This window comes from Homo sapiens, chromosome 21 (genome assembly GCF_000001405.40).
Source record: "Homo sapiens chromosome 21, GRCh38.p14 Primary Assembly".
Taxonomy (NCBI): Eukaryota; Metazoa; Chordata; class Mammalia; order Primates; family Hominidae; genus Homo; species Homo sapiens.
Genome location: NC_000021.9, coordinates 32,685,283 through 32,706,310, shown reverse-complemented (window position 1 = coordinate 32,706,310; position 21,028 = coordinate 32,685,283). Strand labels below are relative to the sequence as shown.

At 38.6% G+C, this 21,028-nt stretch overlaps 1 protein-coding gene across 24 annotated transcripts in view; it reads left to right on the top strand.

Annotated features, from left to right (window-relative positions):
- SYNJ1 (synaptojanin 1) overlaps positions 1 to 21,028 on the top strand; it is a 99,636-nt gene that overhangs the window by 22,084 nt on the left and 56,524 nt on the right. For 23 of the 24 annotated variants that reach the window (XM_047441038.1, XM_017028497.3, XM_017028499.3 and 20 more), the window contains exons 3-9: positions 4,264 to 4,350; positions 6,206 to 6,473; positions 11,029 to 11,254; positions 12,000 to 12,083; positions 17,944 to 18,005; positions 19,237 to 19,333; positions 20,394 to 20,563. In XM_047441038.1, coding sequence (XP_047296994.1) covers positions 4,264 to 4,350; positions 6,206 to 6,473; positions 11,029 to 11,254; positions 12,000 to 12,083; positions 17,944 to 18,005; positions 19,237 to 19,333; positions 20,394 to 20,563 — 994 coding nt within the window. The remainder of the gene's footprint in view (positions 1 to 4,263; positions 4,351 to 6,205; positions 6,474 to 11,028; positions 11,255 to 11,999; positions 12,084 to 17,943; positions 18,006 to 19,236; positions 19,334 to 20,393; positions 20,564 to 21,028) is intronic. The other variant, XM_047441041.1, reaches the window with a different exon arrangement.

Genomic DNA, 21,028 nt, shown 5'->3' with positions numbered 1-21,028 from the left:
CCAACAATGTCTTTTATAGCAAAAGGATCCAGTTCAGATGTGTACATTTTATTTTGTTGTCATGTCTCTTTAGTCTCCTTAAATGGAAAAATTTCTCGATCTGTGACATTTGTGGCCTTAAAAATGTTGAAAGTGAAAACCAGTTACTTTGTAGATTCTCCCTCACTTTGGGTCTGTCTGATGGCTCATGCGTAGATTCAGGTTATTCACCTCTGGCAGGAGTATTGCAGCAATGGTGCTTTTTTCATAGTGTCTTGACAAGTGGCTCGCAGTTTTGACTTGTCCTCTTACTGTTGGTGTTCACTTTGGTTTGCTGTTGTTGTTGAGACAGGGTTTCACTCTGTCGGCCAGGCTGGAGTACAGTGGCATGATCTCAGCTCACTGCAGCCTTGACTTCCCAGGCTCAATCAACCTTCCCGCCACAGCCTCCTGAGTAGTTGGGACCCCAGGTGCATGCCACCACACCTGGATAATTTTTATATTTTTTTGTAGAGACAGGGTCTCGCCACGTTGCCCAGGCTGGTCTCGAACTCCTGGGTTCAAGGGGTCCTTCTGCATCAGCTTCCCGAAGTGCTGGGATTACAGGCGTGAGCCACTGTGCCAGGCCCCTGTTGGTGTTCACTTTGATTACTTGATAAAGGTGATGGTTTGCTAGGCATGTCGGGAAGACTTTTTTTCCCTTTATAATTGTTTTGCCCATTCCTCATGAGACTTTCAATTCATAGGCTTATAACCCATTACTCTTATTATTTATTTTGATGCTCAAATTGTCCTGGATTTCACCAGTAGAAGCCCCTTCAAGCTGCCTTCTGCATGTTTGTGACATATCTCAATTATCCTTTGAACACTTGCTTACTTTTTGGCACAATACTATGTTTTAGGCTCATTTTGTCCCTGCCTTTGCCCTGGAATCAACCATTTCTCCAAGGAATGCTAGTAGTTCCTTTTAGTGGAGAATGGTATGTAGAAGCCAAAGTATGCTAGGTATGCGCATTGCTGTCAGAGTATTGTAGATCCTGGGTCTGCTCAGTGGCTAGTGCTAAGGAGTATATGTAACTATATATGTATATGACATATATACTTATATCTGTGTTTCTATCTTTTTGTCTGTCTTTAGTCTATCTAGAAAACACTGGTAACTCCAATTCTTTTTTTTTTTTTTTGAGACAGAGTCTCACTCTGTCACCAGGCTGGAGTGCAGTGGTGCAATCTCGGTTTACTGCAACCTACGCCTCCCAGGTTCAAGTGATTCTCCTGCCTCAACTTCCCGAGTAGCTGGGACTACATGTGCCTGCCACCACACCTGGCTAATTTTTTGTGTTTTTCGTAGAGACAGGGTTTCACCATGTTGGCCAGGATGGTCTCAATCTCTTGACCTCATAATCCGCCCACCTGGGCCTCCCAAAGTGCTGGGATTACAGACGTGAGCCACCATACCCGGCCTGGTAACTCCAATTCTAATCAACACTGTCCATTCTAGTTTCTCTGTTTGCATTTGTGAGTACCTTCTCTGACAGTGAGAAACCTGGCTCTCATTATCCTTGATCATACCCCATAGATAACCACTCTCCTATTGCCAGTGTAGCCTCCTCCACTGCATAGGTGCCCTCCTTACCCCACTGGCACTTCAAAACCCTGCCTTTCCCATCCCTCTCAAGCTCTAACTTACCATGCCGGGGTGCCCCTAACACCCATGGGTGGACAGTCCTCTCCTCACCCTAGTCAGACTTCAGGAACTCATGCCAGGCGGCCCCTCCCACAAGTGGACGCCCTTTTCCCCTGCCTCTAGCTTCAGCTTCTTGCACAGGCCATCCTTCTCCTAGTGGCCATTACTGGGCCTCCCTCCAGTCTACTCAAAACCTTTGAAGCATATATCGTAAAGTAGGGAAACATCTACTGTCCTTCAGATACAAATGTATTTATGAAGAAGATACTGTTTTCTCTTAAGAAATTTGGAGTGTCTGGAGTTAAAAGTACCTTTGGCTCTAAGAGTATGCACTTTAAGGTGTGTGTGTGGGTGTGTGTGTATCCTGTTTCCTGAGTGTCCGAATAGAATACAAACATGTAAATAACTAAACTGCAAGGCATTTGTTTGCATGTTTGAATTAGATGATAGTCTAATAGATGGGCCTTCATCAGTCCTGAGAGACATACGTTTATGTATTTGGAGTGTAATTAATGAGAAGATAGTTATTATGCATTATTAGAAGAGAGAACATTTTGTTACATGGTAATTTAAGTTATAGAATGACTTCTCTGTTTTCTAAAGGAAGGTGGTGACTTAATGTTAAGAATATGTTTTTTGCCCATGCCTGTAATCCTAGCACTTCGAGAGGCTCAGACAGGAGGATTGCTTGAGCCCGAGAGTTTCCAACCAGCCTGGGCAACGTAGAGAAACTGTATCTCTACAAAAATAAAAAATAAAAAAAATTAGCTGGACATAGTGGCACATGCCTGTAGTCCCAGCTCCTTGGGAGGCTGAGGTGGGAGGATTACTTGAGCCCTGGAGGTCAAGGCTGCATTGAGCTGTGATTGTGTCACTGAACTCCAGCCTCTGTCTCAAAAAAAAAAAATAAAAATAAAAATAAAACTATATTTTCTTCTTAACTCCTACTGCCTCCTGGCATTTGAACCCAAATGATGATTGCTGCTGAAATGGATATATCTAGTACTTTCTATATTACTATATTAGTGATTGTATTTTAAATGTATATGGCATATAACTTGTAAACCTCTAGAATAATATTTATCCTGGAAGTCATGCCTTCTGTCCTGAGAGGTATAACAAGTCTCTCTAATGTTTACAGTACATATGGTACTCTTAACGAGGCAGTATTTAGAAGGCAATTCTATTTTGCTTTATAAAATGTAATTAAAGTTTATATTGTAATGTTTTACATTTGGGTTGCTTGTCATGGAATGTTAGGATCAACTGTTGGATAAACATAAGATGTAATAATAATAGGAACTCAAGGAATACAGAATGAAATATAAATCCCCATCACTTTAACGGGTTGGCGAATCTCCACTCCCTAATTTCATACTGGGTGGTTTGATAATGGCCCACACTTAATAATGAACATGTTAGAGAATCGTGAAAATATCAGCTAATTGAGTGACTGAGTCAGTTAGTCTTAGCCTGTGCTGCAACTAGCAGAGCAAAACTCATCAGAAGGCAGAAGCCAGATCACTAGGAAGAAGGCTTAAGCCTACGTGGTCTGAAAAGAGGTGAAGCAGGCAGGGAAAGTGAGATGTTCTATAGGACTCTGGAGAAGAGCTTCAGGCAAAGTAGAAGATCTCTAATGCAAAGTACAAAGGAGTATTAGGCAAAGCAGTAGGCTGAGAAGAGCCCTTTTGTTGGCAATAAAGATGGACAGGAAATGAGACAGTCATAAGTATCTACTTACGTGATTTTCTAACGTGGAACACGTCAGTGTTGCCAAACATCCTATTTTGTAGATAAAGGAAAGGGGATAAGTGTAAGAGATAAGAAGTAAATAAGGTATGAACCAGTCAGCCAGGAGGTGAGTTGAGTGTGGTGTAGATAATGGAAAAGGGAAAAAAGCAAAGAAGGAAAGAAACCTGGAAGGAAAGGAAGGTATCTTTCTCAAGGATCAACTGTAGACTGTGGGATGTATTATTTGTATTTGTCCTTTGAAATACTGGTTGTTAATATTTCTTTGGTTCTTTGTGAAATTTTTAATGTGTAATTGCTAAGTGCTAGGAAGGTTTTTTCTTTAACGTTTCAGGATTTGATTTTTTTTTGTTGTTTTTTCTTCTCAATAGAATAATCATAATAGCCTGTCTTAGGAAAATTATTCTGTGGTTTATATTCATTAACAAGGTAACGTTAACTTTATAGCAGAAGAAATAAATCAAGGCAAAGACCAGACTTTTGTCCTTTCAGAATCAGATTTCCCTATTCTTGCCCTACATTTGTGTAGTCAAGTGTTGCCATTAGCTTTTATCATTTAAATGTTTTGTCAGTTTCTAAGTGTCGAGCACTATTCTGTCAAGAATAAAAGGGTAAGAAGACAGAGTTCAGATCAGTGGACAGGATGGATTAATTAATAGATGGTCTTGGAATAATTTATTAACTCTTTGGGAAGAATACTAATGTTACTAGTTTAAGAAAATATGCAGTACATTTATTTTAAGAATATCAGATTTAGAAACTTTTGATTGAAACTCTGGATTTATACTTAGCTAAATAGAATCCAATGTTTCAGGTCATTTTTCTTAAACTAAAACTTTTTTTTGTAGCATCTGCAGAAAAAGAGGCAATCAAGGGTACATACTCCAAAGTACTGGATGCATATGGACTCTTAGGTGTTCTGCGGTTAAATCTTGGTAAGTTTATCATTCAGTAGAATTCATCCATTTTTTCATTTCTATTTTGTAATTCTAAGGATTTGAGAGGGACTAGCTATGAATTATTGTAGACTCCATATTTAAGCTACACATGTGCTAACATCTTTTAAACATTAATGTAGCTAATATTGTGATAATGTTTGTTGCCCAAAAAGGCGTGCTACATGCTCAAACTCATGTGAGTGGAAGTTCGGAGACAGTCTCTGGTTTGACCACTTGAAGAGATAAGTATCAGTTGTCAAAAGAGAAAATCAGAACATTCTCCTTTTTGTTGATTCAGTGCATTTAGGAAAAAGTGTCTGCATGAGAACTACACTGATTTTTCTTGGTTTGTATTGGAAAAGACATCTGTTTTGAATTCAGAAAGTGTCTGCTTGAGCCTTTTTTTTTTTTTTGCCACGTAATGTCACCGTGAGCTGCAGAGTAACCTTTGCAGTTACTAGTTTATCTGTAATTTTGCAGCTCAAAGTGTTCTTCAACATTGGTACTGGTCCATAAATCATTTTGTTATTGATCCGTGATAAGATAAGGAGCTTGCACTATGATACAAATCAACATGTGGCTTCCTTCATTGATAAAGTCTTACTAGAAAAAAAAGTCAGCTCAACTAAAGGGTGAACTTAGTAATATAGTTGATTTCCATTCTGGTGTAAGTGTCCTTTCTCATTGTGAGCTGGTAACAGTTCATGGACCATACTTTGAGTAGCACTGGTCTATAAAATGGAGATTTGTCATTTGTTATGAATCTATCACATATAAAGCACTGCGCTTAGGTGCTTTACTGATTACTCCTGGGTAAGCCTCACAGTATAATGAGGTATTTGCTTTAATCTCTTTTTATAAGAGATGATATCTCAGGTTCGTTATGCTACATACTGAAATTGGTCCAGGTAATAAGTAATGGAGCCAAGATTCAGGGCCGCTTCTACCTGTGTCAGAGCCCATGCTCACAGTATACCATTGCTCAATTTCAACTTTATACTAATTTCATAGGCTTTTTGTCATAATTACATGAAAAAAATCTCTGTGAAAGTTTTTGTAAACCAAATTGCTTTATAAGTTGTTACCAGAGACTTTTGTCCATTTGTCATCAACATCATCAGCTGATAATAGTATACCATTTTTTCAACTTTACTATTTACAAAGAACTTGTTAAAATGAGTGTGAATTCATTATCTTACCTGAATTTTCTGACAATCATTAAGCAAAAGTAGAGAAGGTAACACATACTTTTTTATTTGATAAAGTTTTTTTCTTGTTTGTTTGTTCGTGTGGTTTTTTTTGAGACGTAGTTTTAGCTCCTGTTGCCCAGGCTGGAGTGCAATGGTGTGATCTTGGCTCACTGCAGACTCCACCTTCCAGGTTCAAGTGATTCTCCTGCCTCAGCCTCCTGAGTAGCTGGGATCACAGGCATGCACCACCACGCCCAGCTAGTTTTTGTATTTTTAGTAGAGATGGGGTTTCTCCATGTTAGTCAGGGTGGTCTTTAATTCCCGGCCTCAGGTGATCCACCTGCCTCAGCCTCCCAAAGTGCTGGGATTACAGGCGTGAGCCACCGCACCCAGCCAATTATTCGATAAAGTTTTTTTAGCCTCAGAATAAGTTCAGGAACAATTTCGTGTGAGATTATCCTGTTAATGTTTAAATGCTTTATTATACTTAATATATTTAAACAAGGATTTTTTTCAACTAAAATGTCTAGTGAATTTCAACACATCCATGATAAGTTTAAAATAATCACAATGTCAGATTTAAAAAATAGAGGTGCAAGAAGAAATGGAATAGCTTGAAAATGTTGGGATTTTTCATCCAGTAAAATCTTTGGGTTTTGCAGGTGATACTATGTTACATTATCTGGTCCTAGTCACTGGATGTATGTCTGTTGGAAAAATTCAAGAATCTGAAGTTTTCCGAGTTACTTCCACTGAGTTTATATCACTGCGAATCGATTCTTCAGATGAGGATCGCATTTCAGAAGTGCGGAAAGTTTTGAATTCAGGAAACTTTTATTTTGCATGGTCTGCATCTGGCATCAGTTTAGATTTGAGTCTTAATGCGCATCGTAGCATGCAAGAACAGACAACTGATAATAGATTTTTCTGGTGAGTTCATTTTTTCCCTTTTGGTGATTTGGGACATAATATGTTCAGCAGTTGTTCAGTCATCAAAAACCTCCTCACCGTGACAGCAAGAAAGGAGGAAGAACCCTGAAGACCCTCGATGCCCCTTTTCAGCAGCAAGTAGCTACAGAGAATGACCTCTACCTCATCTCCCAAAAGATTTCTGGGTCCCAACGCCTTGAGGGAGCAATGTAAGAGTAGACAGTCAGATATGAGCAGGCACGAGGGGGTGGTATACGTGTTGGAAAGAATGCCCCGGAACTCCTCTTAGGATGCTCAGTACTCACTCCGTGGTCGAACTGTCAGAATGTTGTTAAGTAGATCCTGATAAGGAAGGAAAAAGGCAAAGGGGAATTCCTGAGAGCTGAGCAGGCATAATGAGTACAAAATTGATGGCTATACCTTCCTGGGGTGGTGGTAATAAGCAGTGCCACCATTAGATAGGATTCATATTGATCACTGGTTCCCGTGCATGTGCATTAAGCACAGTAAGGGAGGATCCCCCAAACCTTGGTGAGAACTGGGTAAAGAAAGAACTGAGACAATAGAAGATCACAATGCAGAATGTCTTGGGGGTGTTTCCAGCAGGGTCAGCCCACTCCTTTCTTGGAGTGTACTTGTACTTCCTCAATAAAACTTTTGCTTGCTTTACAAAGAAAAAAAGTTCAGCAGTTGTTATGTCTAGAGATAACAAGGGATAGACATTGCTAATTGAGTGTATCCATCTTTCCTTCTCTGGAGTCCTCAGCAGAGCATGGCAGGCAGCCAATGTCGGTTTATTGAAGTTGGCATGTGACATAAAACCCCTGTGCTCCCCCCAGTCTACACTGAACTTTCATTTCCAAAATACATTTAAAATAGTTGTGTATATTTAGAAATGAATTTAATTGTAACAAAACTGTGTTACTCACGTTTCCTATTCTTGGTTTTGAGATCTTGTCTCTGGCGGCATTCCCTTTCTAAGCCAACATTCCCTTATTATTCTAAATTTTAAGGTTATAAGTAGGTGGTCTTGATTCAAGAGCAACAGATTGTGAAGAAGTAGTATACTGGGACAAAATCTAGTACTATAATAAGTTAGGACTTATGTAGGTAAGTGTGATGTATTTCATGATTATGCATAACTGTGCTGTATTCTAAGTAGGCACAAATGGTGAGCAGAACACATGGGACTATAATTAGCATTGTTCTATTGCAGCAGACCAGATTTCTAGTATAGTGGTTCTGTTGTTTACAGCCAGCATTGATGTTGACTTTTTCTCTTGATATCATGTGCAAATTATGTATTATTATATTGACATATGTTATAAGGCCAAAGTTCAGGACTCTTTGCTCTTGGCCTCCCTTAACAGTTCAGATTCAAGATGGTTTCCTCTTGTGTACTTTTTCTCTCTCACACTTTCACTGTCACTTATATAGTCCTTGAGTAGCACATTCGGGTGTCACCCATTTGCCCTAGCTGTCAGAAGACTCAAAGTCAACAACAAACTTAGGATAAGAAACTTAACTTTAGAGCAACAGCTTGGTCACGTTGTAGCTCACATGGAAGTGTTTTGACCCAGAGTGGTGGCATCAGGGAGAAGAGTGGACAGAATAAAAACAGGGTTTATAGCATTATGTGTTAGAGACTTGGGTTTAGCAGAGGAGGAGACCATGAGGGAGAGGAAAGGAGAGAGGGGATGCAGGGACTAACAGGGCAGATGAATGGACATGAGTTCCTGCCTGCCCAAAGAAGCTAGCAGTGATGGGATGTACTTTTGTGAAGCATTGAGAAATAGGCTTCCAAGAGTTAAAACCATGCCAACACTACATTTTTTCTAGTAGAAGATGTTGAAGTCCCTTGAAAAGGTAAATGTGTTGCAGCTGTCCTTACATTTTTTTCCCTCCTCATTTTTACCCAAAGTTTCTTAGATTGAGAGATAAAAGCTTTCATACAACAATTAGAAGTCCAAGCAGATGCAGATATATTGCCTAGGTTTAATCAATAGGCATGATTAATTGGATGGTTGGTTGATTGATTTTTTTGAGTGTCACTCTGTCGCCCAGGCTGGAGCGCAGTGGCGCGATCTTGGCTCACTGCAACCTTCACCTCCTGGGTTCAAGCAATTCTCCTGCCTCAGCCTCCTGGGTAGCTGGGACCACAGGCGTGCGCCACCACGCAGGCTAATATTTTTGTGTTTTTAATAAGGATGGGGTTTCACCACGTTGGCCAGGCTGGTCTCCAACTCCTGACCTCAAGTGATCCCCCCCACCTTAGCCTCCCAAAGTGCTAGGATTATAGGCATGAGCCACCGTACTTGGCCTCCTTTTTTTTTTTTTTTAATTCACTTAAGAGTAGAGATGGGGGCAAAGTCAGATAAAAGAAAGCCTGAGATTTGTCCAGCAGGAGACAGGTTGAACAAAGGGACAGCTAGAGCACCAAAGGTGAATTTTGCTCATTTTACAATTTTGCTAAGGATTGGCATTCTTGAGCTTCAGTTTATATAGAAAAACGGGAACTTTTGGAATTCATTGTGCATACCCTTGCACTTAGTAGCAATATTTTCCAGGATACAACCATGTAATTTTTGTAGCCAAAGAGTGGCAGATACCTGTGACAAAGCCCAGATAGCTTTACTCCATTGGAAATTCTAAGCTGCTGCCAGTCAAAAGTCATGTATAAATTTAAATGCTAAAACAGTGACACACTGACAGCAAAGAAAAATGAAAACTGACAGCAGAGAGAGAAACTCTGCCTGCACAAAATGCATAGGATTTAAGGTCTATTTAAATGAGGACAAGTAAGTTTCTTATAACTTTGCTGTGGCGTAGGTCTCAGCTGTGGTGGTTGGACATACTGGGTCACAACCAGTTTGAACTTTGCCTCAGATCAATGTGGGTAATAGTAAAGTATGGAAGTTTAAGTCAGTGTATTTTTAAAATAAGTAATGGTCATCAGATTTAACATTATCCCTGTTGTAATATCATCACTCATTTATATTCCCGTGTGATTTCCTGGATGGATAAGAGGGGTTGGGGTCATAGCTGGTTTTCCAGAACTGCTGACCACCCTTTTTATCTCTGTTGCAGCCTGTAATCTGAGGGGCTGGCAGGGAGTTGGGGCTATTGCTGTGAGTCTTCAAGATAATGCTATTACATCTTTTATACCTTATTTAAGACAGGAAGAGAGAGAGAGTACGGAGCACTTAAGTAGAAGAATTCCACTTAAAACCTAAAGAGTCAAGCTTCAATAATATAGAAAACTCATTTTCAAATTGATAGAGTTTTTCCACTTAACAATGTATTTTCCTTAGTGGTATATTGTTAGTAGCTTCTTTATATGTTCTGTGGAGGTCTAAGGTTCCAGGAGAGATCCCTGAGGGGTAATCAGGGTGAGAAGGCCAACCCAGCAAAGTTCAGTCCCAATCCCCACTTTAGCCATAGCAGCTTTTATCTGTATCATAATCATTGGGCTTCTGCATGTTTGTTTGAATAAAATTTGTTTCTCTGAAAAAAGTTTGGAAACCAGGCCACATCTGTTACCTAGAATGCTAAAAGTATTTGGAGCGATGATAAACCCTATGCCTGCACTATCTAATGTGGTAGCCACTAGCCACATCTTGCTATTTAAATTTAAATTAATTAAAATAGAGCCTTATAAAAGTCAAGCCTTAAAAGTAGAGCTTCATGGGCGGGCGCGGTGGCTCACGCCTGTAATCCCAGCACTTTGGGAGGCCGAGGCAGGTGGATCACAAGGTCAGGAGTTCAGGACCATCCTGGCTAACACTAACACGGGGAAACCCCGTCTCTACCAAAAATACAAAAAATTAGCCAAGCATGGTGGTGGGCGCCTGTGGTCCCAGCTACTCAGGAGGCTGAGGCAGGAGAATGACATAAAACTGGGAGGCAGAGCTTGCAGTGAGCCAAGATCCCGCCACTGCACTCCAACCTGGGCGACAGAGCGAGACTCCGTCTCAAAAAAGAAAAAAAAAAACAAAACAAAACAAAAAATTAGCCCGGCTTGGTGGTGCATGCCTGTAATCCCAGCTACGTGGGAGGCTGAGGCAGAAGAATCGCTTGAACCTGGGAGACAGAGGTTGCAGTGAGACGAGATAATGCCACTGCACTCCAGCCTGGGCAACATTCCGAGACTCCATCTCAAAAATAAATAAATAAATAAATAAATAAATAAATAAATAAATAAATATTTTTTTAAAAAGTAGAGCTTCATAAATTGGGGTGGGGACATGCATATGTATTCCTTTTTGGAACAAGTTAGGTTATAAACACATTATATATAAAGACATAACAGAAATGGGCCACAGATACTAAAAACACAAAAATACTCCTTTTCTGTGGATCATAGATCACATGTTGAAGGATCTCGTTTTATAGCCCTATCTTCTGATCCCTAGCATAGTAAATGTAAATGAATTGATTTGTTGTTTGTGCCTTTAAATTTAATAATATTAAATTAATTTTCCAGGAGATTATTTTAAAAGTCATACTTTGTTACTTAGTATTCCATAAGCTAATCATTTATTTCTTTTCCTATTAGGAATCAGTCTTTGCATTTGCATCTCAAACACTATGGCGTGAATTGTGATGACTGGTTATTACGTCTTATGTGTGGAGGAGTAGAAATCAGAACAATTTATGCTGCTCATAAACAGGCGAAGGCTTGCCTCATTTCAAGATTAAGCTGTGAACGAGCTGGGACCAGGTTTAATGTCCGGGGAACAAATGATGATGGTCATGTTGCCAATTTTGTAGAAACAGAACAGGTATATATAGTGTTTTATATTACTTAATTAATTTATTATAGGAGAAGCACAGAAAATACTAGAATAACAGATTTTTATTTGATTCGGAGCTTATTTTAACATCTATAATGTTTTATGATTGTTCTTGGTTACTTATGGGCCTTAAAAAAAGGCTTCCCTAAAAAAAACTTATTTTGGTGTGGCTCTTCATCTAGGTAAGAAGATGTCACTAATCAGCATGACATAGTCAGTGTTGTGTGTTTTGGTATTGAATTTTAATGAATTTTAAAATCCTCAGCTGTAGAGTTAGACAACTTGTTTTTTTGTGAAGTGAAATTAAACCCAGCTCTTAATGGCAAATATGTGTACCATCTAAAAATCAGAAATTATGATATTTTTGGCTATGAAACTATATGATTATAAATTCAGGCCATGAACCCAGCCCAACACAGATCTTCAAATTAGGTTATAAAGAGCTAAACAAAATGAAATATAAAGATATGTATGTAAAATATTAAGATTTAAAAGGAATTTATTTTTTAAAGTTGTGAATCTTATGCTTATAATTTTACTAATTTTTTTGGTTAATATCGCTAACAGAAAAAAAAGTCAAACCTGTATAGTGGCCTGTTTTGGACAATTGTATATGAGAGTTAGATCATAAAATGTAACTAGTATGCAATAGATTTTAGTAAATTTGTTTTTCTAATGTAAGTGTAACAACTTTTCTGTGGAAATAGTTTACATATTATTTTTTTTTCTGTAGGTTGTGTACTTAGATGACTCAGTTTCTTCCTTCATACAAATCCGAGGATCTGTTCCATTGTTCTGGGAGCAACCAGGGTTGCAAGTATGTGTTTGACATTCAGTTATTTTTGTTTTTTGAACAATTTTCATATTTTCTAAACTTTCTGGATAGTTTATTAATTAATTCATTGATGGTTCCATTATTCCATCTAATAATGTTAGCTGGATTTGCAAATAAGGGTCTAGACGAGTACAGAGTTTCTGGAATTATCTTAGATATTTTTTCTTTTAATGCTCTTTCAAATAGCCATTGAAATTGAGCTGCTGTATTTAGTGTTAAAAATTTTGAAGTCTTTATAGTGTATTGATTTGCAATGTGATTCCATATTTATTACCTTCTTATCTTAGTATATAATGATTTAGTCTCTTTAGGCAGAAGAATGTAGTAGATAAAACAAAGCCTTGGGAACCAGACTTCTTAATTGGGATCTTTACTCTACCACTACTAGCTGTGTGATCTTGGGCAAATAATTTAACCCTTGTGTGTCTCAGTTTCCTTATCTGTATAATGGGAATAATATTAATAGTACCTACTTTATAGGGTTGTTGTAAGGATTAAATTAAAAGCACTTAGAATAGCACCTGGCCCCCAGTCAGCACCATGTAAGGGTTAACTATTGTTGACATTTTATTTTTATTCAAAATTTATTAGTCCTTGAAGTATATCATATTTACTTTAGGATCTGGGTATGTATAGTCTAGTAAGTTTGGTGCTTCAGCCTATAGTATTGAGAAAAGGGAAAGAAAAAAAAATCTTTCTTCCTTTATTTGACTGCTGGATCTCTTACATCTTAGACTGGTTATTGCAGAGAAAAATTACAGACTACTTGAACCTTTTTAGTAACATTTTATTTAAGACAGTCTAAGAGTTAACAAGGATTAACACTTCTACTGCTCTGCAAAAATTCTTGAATTCTTGTCAAGACGATTTGACTTGTTTTATCTTTGTAGGGATAACGTAAATAGATATATCTTTCCCTAAATTTCCCTTAGGAGAGAATGCCAACAGAACCCCACTTCTCCTACGCTTTCATGATCAACAGTGGGTGTTTGGAGTATTTGCTTTAAGAACATTGCTGAAACCCTGATGTGATGCGAGGTGAATGCTTTTGTTTTAGGGACAGGCTAGTGTTAGAGATTCTAATAACCAGTTTATGAGCCCTATGGTACACTGTTTTTATGTTATTTTATTTCTTTGTTTAATTTATTTATATTTATTTATTTATATATTTATTTATTTGAGACAGGGTCTCACTCTGCCACCCAGGCTTGAGTGCACTGGTGCAATCATGGCTCACTGCAGCCTCGATCTCCCAGGCTCAAGTGATCCTCCCACCTCAGCCTGCCAGGTAGCTGGGACTACAGGCACATACCACTATTTTTTGTAGAGACAGGGTCCCACCTTGTTGCCCAGGATGGTCTTGAACTCCTGGGCAAACAGTTCTCCTGCCTTGGCCTCCCAAAATGCTAGGATTACAGGCCTGAGCCACTGTACTTGGCCTGTGTTATTTTAATAAGTTCTGAATTACAGTGTTTTGATGATCCAATAAGGTTGCGTCCTGAGTAGTTACACTGAGGGATCTTCCTTGAGTGGGACTTCCTTGTGCCTTCCTTCTCCTGTGTGCTTTCCTTCCTATACGGTCTGGTTGGCTAATGTTATGTGGTGATAGGTGGAAAATTATGGATTTTTTTTTTGGCACGGAATGATGCTCTGTCGCCCAGGCTGGAGTGCAGTGGTGCGATCTCAGCTTACTGCAACCTCCGCCTCCCAGGGTCAAGCAATTCTCCTACCTCAGCCTCCCGAGAGCTGGGACTATAGGCGCGTGCCACCACACTTGGCTAATTTTTTTATTTTTAGTAGAAATGGGGTTTCACCATATTGACCAGACTGGTCTTGCACTCCTGATCTCAGGTGATCCACCTGCCTTGGCCTCCCAAAGGACTGGGATTACAGGCATGAGCCACCGTGCCCGGCCAGGAATCCTCATTTTTAACCAAGTTCTCTACCACTCAAAGTCAAGAACTTCTATTTTATAAGATCCTACTCTAATGGCTATGAAGCAGCCAGTCCTGACCAAGTGAAAAGTAGCCCTGTTACCATTAGTCTCAGCATTGTTCTAGGCAGTAGGACTTTCTTTTTATTCCCACTACTATCCTCTGAGTTAAGGTTTTCATAATTTCTTCTAGCCTGGAAGATTCTCACAGTTTTCTGTCTTGTCCCTCTAGGCCCTGCTTCCTACTAGCTCCGACAGGTCTTCTTATTTTTGATATATATGTTATGCGTGTCAGATTTACTAGGCACCTATGTCCTTATGATCTGGTTTACTCAGCCTGTCCAACTTCAGGCCTTGCAGTTTTCTAGCAGGAATCCTCTACTTCCAAAATTAAGATTTATTGTCCTTCAGTGGCCACTCAGATCTCTTCACTAAATACTTGAGTTCTTCCTGTGTATGTTATTTTATGCTAGGTGCTATGAGAGATTCAAAGATATAATGATGCTTCATAGAGAGGTTGCCATTTGGGCACTCAGGCCTTTTATGGAAAAGATAAATACCAAGATGAATTTGTTTGAGGCATTATAAGAATTGTCATAAGGTGTTACACAAGTAAGAATGACATTTTTAGTGCTGGCAACTTACTTATGATTTCCTTTGACTTGTGATTTTCCTTTTACTTATGATTTCCTTTCCCTGAAGTTGTTTAGCATTTATAACTTATAATACTCAGATCATATATTATTATACTACATTTACAGTATATATCAGTTTATTAGTCCATTCTCACATTGCTGTAAAGAAATACCCAAGTCTGAGTAATTTATGAAGAAAGAAGTTTAATTGGCTTATGGTTCTGCAGGTTGTACAGGAAGAATGGCAGCATCTGCTTCTGGGGAGGCTTCAGGAAGCTTCCAGTCATGGCAAAAGGCAAAAGGGGAGCGAGGAGTCTCACATGGTGGGAGCAGGAGCAAAAGAAAGATAAGAGCGAGGTGCTACACACTTTTAAGTAACCAGATCTCATGAGAACTCACTCACTAGTATGAGAACAATACAAGGGGGCATAGTGCCAAACCATTCATGAGAACTCCACCCCCATGATTCAGTCACCTCCCACCAGACCCCACCTTCAACCTTGGGGGTTACAATTCAGAATGAGATTTAGGGGGTACACAGATCCAAACCGTATCAATCAGTCAAAAAATGGTAAACATTGTAAGGTCTACCCCCAATTTTTGGTTGAAATTTCAGAAATATGTGAAGGTAAAGAAGTAATATTGATGGAAAATGATATACCATACCACACAATTAAATGATTTTTAAAAATACCTTTAATGCAAGCTTTTTTTTTCCCCCAAGTTGGAATTTAGCTCTTGTTGCCCATTGGAGTGCAATGGCACAGTCTTGGCTCACCGCAACCTCCGCCTCCCGGCTTCAAGTGATTCTCCTACCTCAGCATCCCGAGTAGCTGGGATTACAGGCATGTGCCACCATGCCCAGCTAATTTTTGTATTTTAGTAGAGACAAGGTTTCACCATGTTGGTCAGGCCGGTCTCAAACTCCTGACCTCAGGTGATCCGCTGGTCTCGAACTCCTGACCTCAGGTGATCCAGCTGCCTCGGCCTCCCCAAGTACTGGGATTACAGGCATGAGCCACCACACCTGGCCGCAACTTTTTTTTAATTGGGTAAAGTTATGGTTATTTAAAGCCTTAACACTTTCTGGAGTGCTACTTTTATCACGATTGGCAATAGCTCTGTTATTGTAAAACTTTTCTTTCAACATTGAGTAATAAAACCTAGTCTAGGAGGCCATGATGGGAGGATTACTTGAGACCAGGAGTTCAAGACCATCCTGGGCAACATAGACCCATATTTCTACAAAAAAATAAAAAAATAAAAATCATTCGGGCATGGTGACGTGTGCCTGTAGTCTCAGCTACTCAGCAGGCTGAGGTGGGAGGATCCCTTGAGCCCAGGAGGTCGAGGCTGCAGTGAGCTATGGTTGCACCACTGCATTCCAGCATGGTTACAGAGTGAGACCCTGTCTCTAATAACACAAAAACAGAAATCTAATCTAGTCTAGCCAGTATATTGCTATGAGAGCTGTGATACATAGCTGAATGTATATATGTGTTGGGGAACAGAGTGGTGGAAAACAACCATAGGCATTACCTGGAAGACATGAAAACTGGATTTTTTTCACCTTATGCACCGTTGCAGTACTATGCAAAATAAATGTTAATCAGTAAACAAAAATGCTAAGTTTTGAACTTGTATGGAGTGATAGGCAATTAATCTGGGATTACTCCAAAGAAAAAGTATCAACTTGTGAGTTTTCTGCAGTCTAAAATGCTTAATGTCCTGGGACATACGTCTTTCAAATTTTAAACTTTTATGAATATTATTAAGTACCATAAAATGAAATTGAACACAGATGTGACATTAGGCTAATTGATTTCTTATTTAAAAATTAAAGAGAGAATCCCCTGGTTATCAGAATACTCATTAGATTATCTGACTTAGTGCAGTGAGGGATAATGCTTAATGAATGATAATACTGTACTGTTAATTCAGTTTTGGAATTGGATGAGCATATTAGAGTTTATTTTCTGGTTTTACTTGTCCAATTACATGACTGATTTGACAACCCCCCTTTTACACCCTCTTTAAAAGCACTTTGCGCGGGGCGCGGTGGCTCATGCCTGTAATCCCAGCACTTTGGGAGGCTGAGGCGGGCAGATCACAAGGTCAAGAGATTGAGACCATCCTGGCCAACATGGCGAAACCCTGTCTCTACTAAAAATACAAAAATTAGCTGGGCGTGGTGGCGGGCGCCTGTAGTCCCAGCCACTCGGGAGGCTGAGGCAGGAGAATCGCCTGAACCCGGGAGGCAGAGGTTGCAGTGAGCCGAGATCACGCCAATGCACTCCAGCCTGGCAACAGAGTGAGACTCCGTCCCCCACAAAAAAAAGCACTTTGTTCACAGGTTAGCAAGAATGAATTTTGGGCAACTTTTTTGCCCCCCCTCAGTGATCCTTGTTGTGATTGGGCAACCTTCATTCCAACGTCTCAGAGAGAAATGTTTAAATTGAAGTTCAGGGAAATAATCTGGTCTCACCTATATATTTCTTCTTGGCATGTTATATCTTTCTCAATTATGCCTCATCTCTCTGCTATTCTCCTGTGTAAGAAAAGAAAAATTATAACAATATACAATAGGTAGATATTTTCCATCTTGTTTAATTTGCTTAACCCAAAATTCCTGATTCTGCAAAATGTGCAAATACTATAATTGGGTGATGGCAAGGTTGACTTGGAAAGTCTGCTTTTCCAGGAAGGAATGATATTCTCAATTTGGTGGAACTTTGGTGTGAATAGAATATTCAACATAGTAGAGAAGAAAACACATAGACATTTGTATTGGTAGGCAGCTTGGAGGAGTAGGAATTTAGGTCAGAGACATAAAGTCTCATCTGAATCTCTTTTGGAATTGGTTATGTTGATCTCAGATAGCAAGTTATTTTACCTGTTGGTATTTTGGTTTTTTTAATTACCCAAATGGTAATAGTATCTGTTACACAGGGCATGTAGTTTGAACTTAAAACAAAGTACCATATATGAAAACACCTTTAAAAATAGTTTTCATCAATAAAAATTCCTACTAGTTTACGAGTATTTCATAATGATGTAACTTCTTTTTTTGATGAGGTTGGTTTTTTAAAAATAAAGGTGGAGGGTGGAAATTCCCTGGAACTTGTTTTTTTAAAAGCATATCATGAATGGAAATCAGTTATTTGATTAACGACTGTGTGTTCAGCAAAGAAATTGTTAGATATTGTAAGCAGTGATATTTCTTTCGTCTATATGTTGGTTTTTGGTTTGATTAAATATATTTTTCTTGTCTAAGGTGGGATCTCATCGTGTCCGTATGTCAAGGGGATTTGAAGCCAATGCACCTGCTTTTGACAGGTAAGACAATTTTTACATAGTGCTTTAAGTTTTGATATTGCTAAGCAGTGGGACTGCTTGTATTTACTGATTCACTTCAAACTTTTTTGGCTTTAAATAAAATTCCTCTGACTCCTAATTTAATTGAAAGACAGTGACACCTAGTGTTACGACTTCTGGGGGTGGTAGTGCTGGAAGTGTGGGTCTTGATCTCTTGACCTTAAAACTTCCTCTGTGGGCGCATTGTCCAGTATAGCAGCCACTAGCCACATGTAGCTACTGGGCACTTGAAATGTGACTAGTCTCAGTTGAGATGTGCTGCAAGTATAAAATGCACACTAGATTTCAAAGACTGCCTTAAAAAATAAAAAAGAATGTAAGGTATCTCATTAGTAAAATCATGTTCGGTATACTCAGAGTATTGGTTCTACCCTCACATACCAAAATCTGTGCATACTCAAGTCCCACAGTCGGCCATGTGGAACCCATGCTTATGAAAAGTCATCATTCATATTCATGGGTTTTGCATGCCAGGAATACTGTAGTTTTGATTCTTCTTTGGTTGAAAAAAATCCATATATAAGTGGACTTGCACAGTTCAAACCTGTGTTGTTGAAAGGTTAACTGTAGTTGTTTTATATTGATTACATGTTGAAATGATATTTTAGACATGTTGAGTTAAAGAAAGTATAATTAATTTCATGTTTATAAATGCACCTTCTTGAAAATTTAACATTATAGGTGTGGTTTATGTTACATTTCTTTGTGTGGCATTGCTCTACATAGTTTCTGGAATGGTTAGAAGCTGGAAAGAGAAAAGACTCGTATTTGGGGCCCATTTTTCTGAAGACTGGAGCTAGTAAGGAGGTCCCTCTGAATACTCAACGGAGTAGGTGATGTCCTCACATGTGAGCAGCAGCCCTTTGCCATCTGCCCTTACTGCCTTTCCAGTCAAGCTTATGGCTGGTGTCTGTCTTGTCTGGTGCCAGCCTCACAGAGTGGGCAGAAGCTGGATGCCTCCACAGCTCCAACAGGGGTGGAAGTCTCAGTACCCATAAGTCAGAGAGGAAGTTGCATTCATGAGTTTTCGTAAATTCGGCTTTGAGACCATGTACAATGAATTCGCACCCAGTTTTCCAATTCTGTGTTTAAAATACTGCCATGTAAGTTATATTTAATAATGGATTATTGTTTATTGAAAAAATTGGGCTTCTTATTTGACATGTATTTATTTCCTTTCTTTCTTAAATAGGCATTTTAGAACACTTAAGAACTTATATGGTAAACAAATAATAGTAAATTTGCTTGGATCTAAGGAAGGTGAACATATGCTAAGTAAAGCTTTCCAGGTAAGTATGGTCATTTCTTATTTCATTCTGGCCCATGGACACCTAGAATGGTATTAAAAAATAAAATAATACAGTAATCAGATTCTTCCAGGAAGTAAATTACTTCCAAGAAAAAGGTTGGGTACTTGTTGGAAACTTGAACTCTTTGGGTCTATTAAGAAACAATTTAGGCTAATGTTGCTGAAATTGGGATTCTAAAAAGCTTTCAATGCAAATGACACTGTTTTCTAATCTGCTTTTTTATTTTGTAGAGAAACAGAAAAATACCCTCCTTGCCAAAAATGTTTATCTGTCACTAGTAGAGAAATAGCAGTTTCCTTCTTCATCTGTTGATTGCTTTGCCTGCTTCCTAGAACCATAGTCATTGTTTTTCACCTATGGAATTGTGAATGATGCATTTATATACATGCAACGCTATACCTTCTTGTACTGATGAGAGAAAACTTGAGAATTTCATGTCAAAAAGAACCCCAAAATTGCCTGACTTCTAAAGAAAAAATATTTTAATGAACACTTATTGAATTAATAATGAATTAATATAAATTATGTTGTTACATAAGATTATAAACTTAAACAAGATTGTTAGAAAACATTTTCTAAAGTTCAATCTCCTAAGTCCAAAAGCATCCTGATTTTATAGCTATTTTTTTAATCTGGTGAAATAAATATTGTTAATAAACAGATTATACTTTACAGAGTGACTTTATGGTAAAATTTAAGAATATTTGTATGTATTGAATGAAGTTATAAAATATGAATCTTTCAGTCTTTGATAGGCTTTGTCTTAGATGACTTTGAGATTCTATAATAGGTCTAAATAGTAAGTTTGTGTTGTAAAAATAAAATGCTGGCAATTGGAAATAATTTTTTATTTCCTAAGCCAGATGAGAATATTATTTAAGTACACTGATGTTAATTGTGTCACCGTATCTCTCAGGGATAGTTTTTGAGGCTTTAGGGAAAAGATTTATTGCCAGTGTCAATGAAATGTGATGAATATTTAGATGGATATTTGCCTTTTTACTTTCATTTAGATGAATATTTGCCTTTTTACTTTCAGAGTCATTTGAAAGCTTCTGAACATGCTGCTGATATCCAGATGGTGAATTTTGACTATCATCAAATGGTTAAGGGAGGAAAGGCAGAAAAATTACATAGTGTTCTTAAACCTCAAGTCCAGAAGTTTCTAGATTATGGATTTTTTTATTTCAATGGAAGTGAAGTTCAAAGGTTTGACTGTTCTGTTTCTCTGTTCTTTGAATTGGAACATTAATTAAAAATTATTCTTAACGTTGAACTCTTAAATTTTCTTTTTAAAATTAAAGTTTATAATTAAATATCTTTTAAATATTTCATTTTATTTTTATTTTTATTATTTTGAAATAGGGCCTCACTTTGTTGCCCAGGCTGGTGTGCAGTGGTGCAGTCTCAGCTCCCTGCAGCCTCTGCCTTCTGGTTTCAGGAGATCCTCTCACCTCAGCCTCCTGAGTAGCTGGGACTACAGGTGTGTGCCACCATGCCTGGCTTATTTTTTTTTTTTTTTTTTTTTTTTGGTAGAGACGGGGGTCTCCCTGTATTGCCCTGGCTGGGCTCAAACTCCTGGGCTCAAGTGATCCACCTGCCTCAGCCTCCCAAAGTGCTAGGTTTACAGGCATGAGCCATCTCACCCATCCTATACTTGATTTTAAACTTGTT